Source organism: Homo sapiens, chromosome 20, assembly GCF_000001405.40.
Source record: "Homo sapiens chromosome 20, GRCh38.p14 Primary Assembly".
In the NCBI taxonomy this organism is placed as follows: domain Eukaryota; kingdom Metazoa; phylum Chordata; class Mammalia; order Primates; family Hominidae; genus Homo; species Homo sapiens.
In genome coordinates this window covers 36864258-36874695 of record NC_000020.11, presented here as the reverse complement: position 1 = coordinate 36874695, position 10438 = coordinate 36864258, and the positions used below count along the sequence as shown (strand labels likewise).

At 51.2% G+C, this 10438-nt stretch overlaps 1 pseudogene, besides 2 other annotated features; it reads right to left on the bottom strand.

Moving 5' to 3' along the window:
- Window positions 2208–2714: an enhancer, noted in NCBI's record as "H3K4me1 hESC enhancer chr20:35500385-35500891 (GRCh37/hg19 assembly coordinates)". NCBI's record gives its function as "activates a minimal SCP1, AML or CMV promoter by ChIP-STARR-seq in naive H9 embryonic stem cells {active_cell/tissue: H9 hESC(naive)}" and the evidence as "EXISTENCE:reporter gene assay evidence [ECO:0000049][PMID:30033119]".
- On the bottom strand, window positions 4294–4597 carry RN7SL156P (RNA, 7SL, cytoplasmic 156, pseudogene; annotated as a pseudogene).
- Window positions 7538–7607: a silencer, noted in NCBI's record as "silent region_12882". NCBI's record gives its function as "represses an Ori minimal core promoter by ATAC-STARR-seq in GM12878 lymphoblastoid cells {active_cell/tissue: GM12878}" and the evidence as "EXISTENCE:reporter gene assay evidence [ECO:0000049][PMID:35858748]".

Genomic DNA, 10438 nt, shown 5'->3' with positions numbered 1-10438 from the left:
TTGGTCAGGCTGGTCTCGAACTCCTGACCGCAGGTGATCCGCCCGCCTCAGCCTCCCAAAGTGCTGGGATTACAGGCGTGAGCCACTGGGCCCGGCCCAAGCTTTTTTTTTTCTAATTAAAAAGTGATATTTAGATATTGTAGAAAATTTGAGAAACCGGAAAAGAATAAGAATATAAAAATATTCACAATTCCATCTCTCACAAATAAACTCTCAACCCCCAAAGGTATATTTGCAAAGGGCTCACATTATGTGTTCATACCATATTGACCACACAGTGTTTTTGTTGTTTTTGTTTTTGAGACAGAATCTTGCTCTGTTGCCTAGGCTGGAGTGCAGTGGTGTGATCTTGGCTCACTGCAACCTCTGCCTCCCAGGTTCAAGTGATTCTCCTGTCTCAGCCTCCCAAATAGCTGGGATCAGAGGTGCGTGCCAAAACACCCAGCTAATTTTTGTATTTTTAGTAGAGACGAGGTTTCTCCATGTTGGTCAGGCTGGTCTTGAACTCCTGACCTCAGGTGATCTGCCCTCCTCGGCCTCCCATAGTGCTGGGATTACAGTCATGAGTCACCGCGCCCGGCCGACCACACAGTTTTATAAAATACTTTTTCTACTAACAACAATCGAGAATTCTCCAAGATACCCTACGCTCTTGGAATGCATGATTCCTCGAGTGGCTGCGTATTATTTCATCACAGGACATTCATAACTTATTCCCCCTGCTGTTGGACATTTTGTTTACTTCTAATTTTCTCTAATTATTAGCAAAACTGCAATGAACGTTGTTCATAAATCTGACTGTATCCTTTATGATAAATTTCAAAAGTTGAATGCTGGATCAAAGGCCATATGCATAGTTCTTGATAAGTGTTTCCAACAAGGTTACCCAGGTGCTTAAAGTTGACCCATGTCCAAGTACTTTTAGGGAAGCTCAAGGTAATATCTTTCTGGTCATCAAACCTTATGACCCTCGGACTAGAGATAAGGAAACTGCCATTCAGAAAAGGGAAGGAACTCATCACAGTCACATGAGTGTAGGACGGCGGTTAAGAGGACAAGCTCTGGAGTCAGAGAGTTCAAATCCTGGTTTTGCCACTTTCTTTGCTGTGTGGCCTTGGGGAAATTACTTTACATCCCTGTGCTTCAGTCACCTCACCTGTAAATATTAATATCTACATCTACATCAGGGCTGTTGTAAGAGTAAATGAAGATAAAGCCTAGAGAGCTAGGGTGTTAAGCCAGGCATCCAACCTCCTGACCTCAGTTAGGTGAGATAACAGTACCTTATGTTGTTTGTGGGTGCTGGGTGAGTGGCAATACTTATTACAATCCCCCCACACTGACTCTTTGAGAGTCTAGGGCTCGAATCCCTGACAAGTGACCCCTCAGCCTCCACCTGGGTGCCTCTGGGACAGGCAGTCCCTTGGTCAGTTGCAGGGTGAGGAGCTCAAAGGGTGAAGGGAAATAAGGGAGCTGTGGAAGGATGTACTCACCCTGCCTTTAGCGTATCTCCCTGATCCCCAGAGAGGGGGCCACACGGGCACTGACCCTGCCCACCTGGTGGTCTGTCTGCGGCAGCTAGCTCCAATCCCTGGTCCCTGGGTAGGTGGCTGGCCCCTCTGACCCAGACTCCAGGCTCTCCTCCCTAGCTCTTATATCTGCCCAGAGGGCGGCAAGCCCTGGCCCTGTGCCCACTCTGGTTCCAGCTGGGAAGGCCCAGCAGTGATTATGATACATCAGAAACTCAAATCCCACAAGCACACACAAACAAGACCTTATCATCCCCCGGCACCCAGCTCTGCCCCCAACAGCCCAAAGAGGTGGGGATAGCAGGCACATTGGCTCTCCTGAAGCCTCTCACCACAGCTGCCAGATGCCAGGTCCTGGTGCTTGATGCCCACCACTGAAGACTATTCCCTTGAGGTTAAAATCTGCAATATGGCTGGGCACGGTGGCTCACACCTGTAATCCTAGGATTTGGGGAGTCTCAGGTGGGAGGATCGCCTGAGCCCAGGGGTTTGAGAACAGCCTGGACAACATGGCGCAACTCCATCTCTACAAAAAAATTTTAAAAATTAGCCAGGTGTGGTGGCACATGCCTGTAGTCCCAGCTACTTGGGAGGCTGAGATGTGAAGATCACCTGAGCCTGGGAAAGTCGAGGCTGCAATGAGCCAAAATCACATCACTGCACTCCAGCCTGGGCAACAGAGTGAGACCCTGTCTCAAAAATAAAAGAAAATAAAATCTCTGATCTACAAACACTACAGGAAAGGGTGAGGTTGTGGGGTTCTCCGTCAGTCACCCTGTGCTCCAGGGCCGGCAGGCTCGGCCCCTGCTGGTTTCCTCTCAGATGAGATGAGGACGTTTCTCACTGGACTGTGGTGACATTAGGCGAGGTCACACACAGGAAGCTATGTTTGGCAGGCAGTAGACGATCCATTGAAGAGGGGGCTACTTCTCTGTCCCCAGCTCACAGTAAGATCTCAATGACTGCTCTGTTGTTGACTCACAGAACTTCAAAGCTGGAAAGGGCTTCAGTAGCCTGCCCCTGGGATGGGAATCCCCTGGGGAATGTGCCCAGGTCACCGGCCTGTTAGGTGGGTGAGCCCACCGTTTCACAGGTAGCTTGTGCCATCTTTTCACAGCTGAAAGAGACCCTATTCTGCTGGTCTTGGTGGAGAGGACATGGGTCCCCAGATGCCCTGCTCGTGGCCGGGTGTCCTGGGGCAGTGTTCCCTCCGGGAAGTGTGGGATGCCAAAAGGACGTGTATTATGGGGAAAACAAGTAAGCAAAGGGCCCTGTTGCCACCTCAAACATGGCTGTTGCAATGTGTGTTTAAGCTGTAAATGGCTTGGGGCTCACATGCCTAGCACTTCTTGCCACCCCTCCTCCAAGCTCAACACCTGAACCACTGAGCACTTTGAGAAGCCAATGGGGTTTGCCTTACTGTCCCATTCTGTGTCCTCATGGTCAGGAAAACTCAGCGTGTGATCTGGCAGGAACATCAACTGCCACATAACCGGCTGCTAGAAAGCTTCCGTGATGGAGGCTGGGTACAGTGGCTCATGCCTGTAATCCCAGCACTTTGGGAGGCTGACGTGGGCAGATCACCTGAGGTCAGGAGTTCAAGACCAGTCTGGCCAACAAGGCGAAACCCTATTTCTACTAAAAATACAAAAAAAAAAAATTTTAGCTGAGTGTGGTGGCGCATGCCTGTAGTCCCAGCTCCTTGGGAGGCTGAGGCAGGAGAATCGCCTGAACCCAGGAGGTGGGGGTTGCAGTGAGCCGAGACTGCACCACTGCACTCCAGCCTGAGCGACAGAGCAAGACTCTGACTCAAAAAGAAAAAAAAAAGGCTAGGCGCAGTGGCTCATGCCTATAATCCTAGTACGTTGGGAGGCTGAGGCAGGTGTATTCCTTGAGGTCAGGAGTTCAAGACCAACCTGGCCAACATGGCGAAACCCCGTCTCTACTAAAAATACAAAAAAATTTAGCCGGTTGTAGCGGTACACACCTGTAGTCCCAGCTACTTGGGAGGCTGAGGCAGGATACTCGCTTGAACCCAGGAGGCAAAGGTTGCAGTGAGCTGAGATTGTGCCACTGCACACAAGCCTGGGCAACAGAGCAAGACTCTGTCTCAAAAAACCAAAAAAAAACAAGAACAAAAATCTTCTATGATGGAATTCCAGATACCAGAGGGCCTAGCAGATGTCTGGACTCTGCCTTGAAGTTTACCTTCTTTTTATATCTTTATTTATTTATTTATCTTACTTTATATTTGAGACAGGGTCTTGCTCTATTACTCAGCCTGGAGTACAGTAACATGATCATAGCTCAGTGCAGCCAGTCTCCTGGGCTCAATCCTCCTGCCTCAGCCTCCTGAGTACCTAGGACTACAGGCATGCGCCATCATGCCCTGCTAATTTCTTTTATTTATTTATTTTGTTTTTGTAGAGACGGGGTCTCGCTATATTGCCAAGGCTGGTCTTGAACTCCTGGTCTCAAGTGAGCCTCCCACCTCAGCCTCCAGTGTTGACATTACAGGTGTGAGCCACTGCACTCAGCCTATTTTAATTTTTTTTTTTTTTGGACGGAGTCTTCTTCTGTCACCCAGGCTGGAGTGCAGTGGCTTGATCTTGGCTCACAGCAACCACTGCCTCCTGGGTTCAAGCGATTCTTCTGCCTCAGCCTCCCAAATAGCTGGGACTACAGGCCTGTGACACTATGCCCAGCTAATTTGCATTTTTTTTTAGTAGAGACAGGGTTTTGCCACGTTGGCCAGGCTGGTCTCAAACTCGTGACCTCAAGTGATCCACCTGCCTTGGGCTCCCAAAGTGCTGGGATTACAGGCATGAGCCACTGCACCTGGTCCAGCATGGGAGTTTTGATCTGCTATTTCTGACCTGGGCCAGTTCACTCCTCCTTGGGCAACCTAGTGGTCCCTGCTCCGGGGGAGGTCACCATGCTGATGCTAAACTTAGTGCAGACACCAAATCAGCATAGCACACTCTAGCCCAGAACTCCAGGGTTCAAGCCATTGTCTTGCCTCAGCCTCTCGAGTAGCTGGGACTATAGGCACTGCCACTGCGACCAGCAATTTGCCTTCTCCATTCTTCTTGACCAGACCTCATGCTGCCTCTTTCAGAACTGCAATAGTCATCCAGGAAAAAATTTAAGTGTCTAATAAAAGGGGGAAAGGTGAAGTGATTCATGGAACATCATCCATTCAGTGGATTATTTCTGTGTTGTTGTTGTTGTTGTTGTTTTGACAGTTTTGCTCTTGTTGCCCAGGCTAGAGTGCGATGGCGTGATCTCGGCTCATCACAACCTCTGCCTCCCGGGTTCAAGCAATTCTCCTGCCTCAGCCTCCCAAGTAGCTGGGATTACAGGCATACGCACCACCACGCCTGGCTAATTTTGTATTTTTAGTAGAGGCAGGGTTTCTCCATGTTGGTCAGGCTGGTCTTGAACTCCCAATCTTGGGTGATCTGCCCGCCTCGGCCTACCAAAGTGCTGGGATTATAGGCATGGGCCACTGCGCATGGCCCAGTGGATTATTTCTTTCTTTCTTTTTTTTTTTTTGAGACAGAGTCTTGCTCTGTCTCCCAGGCTGGAGTGCAGTGGCGCGATCTCGGCTCCCCGCAAGCTCCGCCTCCCGGGTCCCTGCCATTCTCCTGCCTCAGCCTCCCTAGCAGCTGGGACTACAGGCACCCGCCACCACGCCTGGCTAATTTTTTTGTATTTTTAGTAGAAACGGGGTTTCACCGTGTTAGCCAGCATGGTCTCGACCTCCTGACCTTGTGATCCGCCCACCTCGGCCTCCCAAAATGCTGGGATTACAGGCGTGAGCCACCGCGCCCAGCCCAGTGGATTATTTCTAAGTATGAAGAGTGATGTTTGCAAAGAGCTTATAAATGTGTTATAAATGTGTGGGGATATGCTTCTGCTACCCTGTTAAGCGAAAAAAGCAGGATACAAAATTGCATAGGCAGTAAGATTTCAGCTATGCAAAAGAAACTTGAAATTAGCAAAGAGAAAATGACTAAAAGGGAATACACCCGGTGTTCACTGGGCTGACTGGCTCCCCTTTGAACTTCAGGTGAGTATAAGATGACCAGACACTCCCTGACATGTCCCAGAAGGTTTGATTTTCACTCTCTGAGATCTCTTCTTTCTCTTACTCTGAATGGCTGGCAACTGCATTCTTCATTGAGAAAACAGAAGTGGGCCAGGCACAGTGGCTCATAACTGTAATCCCAGCACTTTGGGAGGTCGAGGTGGGTGGATCACTTGAGGTCAGGAGTTTGAGACCAGCCTGCCCAACACGGTGAAATCCTGTCTCTACTAAAAATACAAAAGTTAGCCAGGCATGATGGCGGGCACCTGTAGTCCCAGCTACTTGTGAGGCTGAGGCAGGAGAATTGCTTGAACCCAAGAGGTGGAGGTTGCAGTGAACTGAGATGGCATCACTGCACTCTAGCCTGGGCGGCAGAGTGACACTCCATCTCAAAAAAAAAAAAAAAAATTAGCTAGGCGTGGTGGCACGCACCTGTAATCCCAGCTACTCGGGAGGCTGAGGCAGGAGAATCATTTGAGCTTGGGAGGTGGAGGTTGCAGTGAGCTGAGATCGTGCAACTGCACTCCAGCCTGGGCAACAGAGTGAGACTCTGTCTCAAAAAAAAGAAAGAAAAAAGAAAAAGCAGCAGCCGGGCATGGTGGCTCACACCTGTAATCCCAGCACTTTGGGAGGCCAAGGCAGGCAGATCTTGAGGTCAGGAGTTAGAGACCAGCCTGGTCAAAATAGTCAAACTCCGTCTCTACTAAAAATACAAAAAAAAATTAGCCAGGTGTGGTGGTGGGCGCCTGTAATCCCAACACTCAGGGGGCTGAGACAAGAGAATTGCTTGAACCTGGGAGGTGGAGGTTGCCGTGAGCCAAGATCACACCACAGCACTCCAGCCTGAGCAACACTGTCTCAAAAAAAAAAAAAAAAGGCAAGGCCCTAACTGTTCAGTGGCTCCTTGAATAACTCAGTTTAGGCCAGGCACAGTGGCTCACACCTGTAATCCCAACACTTTGGGAGGCCGAGGCGGGTAGATCACAAGGTCAGGAGATCGAGACCGTCCTGGCTAACACAGTGAAACCCCGTCTCTACTAAAAATACAAAAAAATTAGCCAGGTGTGGTGGCGGGCGCCTGTAGTCCCAGCTACTCTGGAGGCTGAGGCAGGAGAATGGCGTGGACCTGGGAGGTGGAGCTTGCAGTGAGCCAAGATCGCGCCACTGCACTCCAGCCTGGGCGACAGCTCTGTCTCAAAAAAAAAAAAAAAAAAAAAAAAAGAATAACTCAGTTTAAAGGCTGCCTCCTTGGCTGGGTGCAGTGGCTCACACCTGTAATCCCAGCTCTTTGGGAGGCCAAGGTGGGCAGATCACAAGGTCAGGATATCGAGACCATCCTGGCCAGCATGGTGAAACCCCCGTCTCTACTAAAAATACAAAAATTAGCTGGGCATGGTGGCGCATGCCTGTAATCCCAATTACTTGGGAGGCTGAGGCAGGAGAATCGCTTGAACCCAGGAGGCAGAGGTTGGAGTGAGCCAAGATTGCACCACTGCACTCCAGCCTGGCAACAAAGCTAGGCTCCATCTCAAACAAAAAACAAAAAACAAAAACAAAAACAAAAAAGGCTGCCTTCTCTGAGAGGCCTTCCTGACTCCCCTATTTAATGAGGTTTCCCGACCGATTCCTCTAATTTTCCCATAGCCAGTTGCTTGTTTTTTAATCTGTATAATGAAAAAACAAAACAAAACAACTTTAGTTTAAAAGGAAAAAACACACCTCCTCTTGGAAGCTTTCCAGGAGTGAGTCTCCATTCAGTTTTCATCACGTTGGTCAATTTAGCAGCTTGAATGGGAGAAATGAAACCGTTTTTCTACTTGGGTAATCAGCATCTTCACTTCCTATGTTATATAATTCTTACAAGGTAATGCTTCAGTCTCTTTTGAGTAGCGCTTTCTGCAGCACACACTGTGTGTCTGTGCTGGGCACTTCGCAGCCCAATAGGGTACCACAACAGGCCCTGGAATTGGGCAGCTCTGGGTTCAAGTCAATCCCAGCCCTGCCACATCCAAGCTGTGTGACCTTGGTCACACATTCCAGCTACCCAGTGTTATGTAACAAATGACCCCAAAACTTAGTGGCCGAAAACAACAATACTTATTTTGCAGTTTGGGCAGGGTTGGTGAGACAGCTCATTTCTGCTCCACTTGTCCACTGGGGCAGCTCCAAGTCTGGGGGCTGAATCATCTGCAGGCTCACTCTCTCACATGTCTGGTGGTTAGTGGGGACCAGAGCTGGAGTTGTTGGCTAGATCACCTTCATGCGGTCTCCCCATGAGGCCTGGGCTTCCTCCTATCATGGTGGGTGAGTGGCCAGAGAGACAGAGAGAGAGAAAGAGAGAGAGAAGCAAGCTGGGTGGAATCCATGTTGCTTTTTATGACCTAACCTTGGAAGTCACAGATGAACACTTCTGCCATACTCTGTTGGTTGAGACAGTCACAAGATCTGCTGAGATTCAAGGTGGGGGCACACAGTGCCCCCACACACGTGCCGCACACATGTGCCGCTCAATTGGAGGAGCATCAGTGTCACATTGTAAGAAGAGCAATTGGGATGAGATATACCCTTTGGAAAATATTAATCAGTCACAAGAAGTATCTTCACCTTTTGGAGATCCTTTACTGAAATGTGGAGCACAGAGCCCGGCACACAGGAAGAGGCCACGCATCACACAGCTGCAGGATGTGCCGGCGCAAGGACGGTCACCCCGTCTACAATGTAGCCAGTTCTGGACTCTCAACAAGTCTTATCTCCTTTGTGGTATCCCTGGTCTGAACTGACCCTGAGTCCACAGCCCCTACGTCAGCCCCACCTAGTCCCTCCCCACCAGAGCCCTGTTGTTCTCAAGGCTTCCCTGGGTCTACAATGTAGATTCTTGACTCCCCAAATCCAAAGCACCTCAGAGCAGGTGGGACCCACAGGCCCCTCCCTGGCCAGCCATGAGTGTTGGGCCCAGAGAGGATAGGTGGTAGAGCCAGGACTCAGATCCCTGCCCTAGAAGAGAGATGCAGGCCACTCTAATCTCAGGACCACTGATGTGACCAAGGGTGTGTCAGGAGTGGCTGAGCCAGCCTGGTCTGCTATGTCCCTGCATTCACACCACCCAACACCTCCAAACCTATGTTCTGCACAGGGGCAGAAACTGAAGCACAGAGAGAGGACACACTTTCCAAGAGCTTCACAGCATCTTTCTGTGCCAGACTAGATGCAGCCTACTAGAGCCAGGGGCATCTGAGCTGGATGGACCCTGTCATCTGTTACATTAGACCAGAGCAGGTGGGGACTCTGAGGCCCGGAATGTGGGAAGGCCTGCCCTGGGTCACTAGCCTGCGGCTCCCACATCCTTCTCCAGCACTCCTGCCCACATGCCATGCCACCCTGTTTGTGCTGAGTCTTTTGTGGTCCCCCCCAACACACACTGTGTGCTCCATGAGTTCAGGCACTGACATGCCCACCACTGCGTCCCTCAGTGTACCTGGCGCCTGTGCAAACAGGGTTTGTGGACAGTCAGTGGGCCGTGAGGGGAGCTGGTGTCTTGCTAGGAGGGGGTGGGGATGCCCCTGCGGAAGTGTTTGCCAAGAGCCTGCTGAGTGCCTGCTCCTCACTTGGCCGTATGGAGGGCACCTAGCGTTGGGGTGGAGGAGCACTCACTCACCTGGATCCAGATGAAGTCATGCCTCTGGAGAGAGGGGATGCCCCAGGAGTGTATTCACAGCGTGTGGGGGAGGTGGGACAGAGACAAAGAAGTGGACCTGGTGCCTGCTGTGTCACAGGCAGGTGCAGAGGTGAAGGAAGGGAATTGGGGGAGGAAGAAGAAGGAGAAAATGGGCAGGAGGAAGAAGAGGGGAAAGAGGAGGAAAAGGAAGACTTGGAAAAGGAGGGGGGAAAGGAAGGGGAAAGATGGGAGAAGAAGGAGGAAGAAAGAGCAGGGGATAAATGGGAGGGGGAGGAGAGAACAGGAGGAGAAAGAGGTTGTAAAGGGGCAAAAACAGCCCTGCCCTTCTGGTGGCAAGGGGTGTGGGGCACCCTAAGGACGAGGGTACATCTGTGGGGCAAAGCACTCAATCCAGCTCTGCCCTGCGGTGGCTCAGGGATGGGGGCGTAGCGGCCAGGCGGTGTGGGGGCTGGGGAAGGTGTGAGAGACATGGGAAAATCAACACGGCCAGGAGCCAAGGAGACGCCCAGACGCCCGGGAGGAAAGAAAACACGCCCATCAGAGCTCAAGTCCTCCTGCACTGCTCCTGGTGGGGACGTGTGGGGTCAGGGCAACCGTCCCAGCCCATGCCAGCCCCCACGGGGGCCAAAACCGCCTTCCAAAGCATCCGCTAGGCTGACATCTCGTAATAGGTCCCCTCCATTTTATTTTTGTTTTTATTTATTTGTTTATTTTTTTGAGATGGAGTCTAGCTCTGCCACCCAGACTGGAGTGCAGTGGCGCGACCTCGGCTCACTGCAACCTCCGCCTCCCGGGTTCAAGCGATTCTCCTGCCTCAGCCTCCCGAGTAGCTGGGATTACAGGCACGCGCTACCACGCCCGGCTAATTTGTGTATTTTTAGTAGAGACGGGGTTTCATCATGTTGGTCAGGCTGGTCTCGAACTCCTGACCTCGTGATCCACCCGCCTCGGCCTCCCAAAGTGCTGGGATTACAGGCATGAGCCACCGCGCCTAGCTACGGGTCGCTTCCATTTTAGCCGTACAGAGCCTGAAACCCGGGTCGGGGGCGCATGGGGAGAAATATCCGCCGGTCAAGGTGCGCGAGCCAGGCATGCACACAGGGCTTCACGGTCCCTATGCCAGGAGAGGGAAGCCGAGGCAGG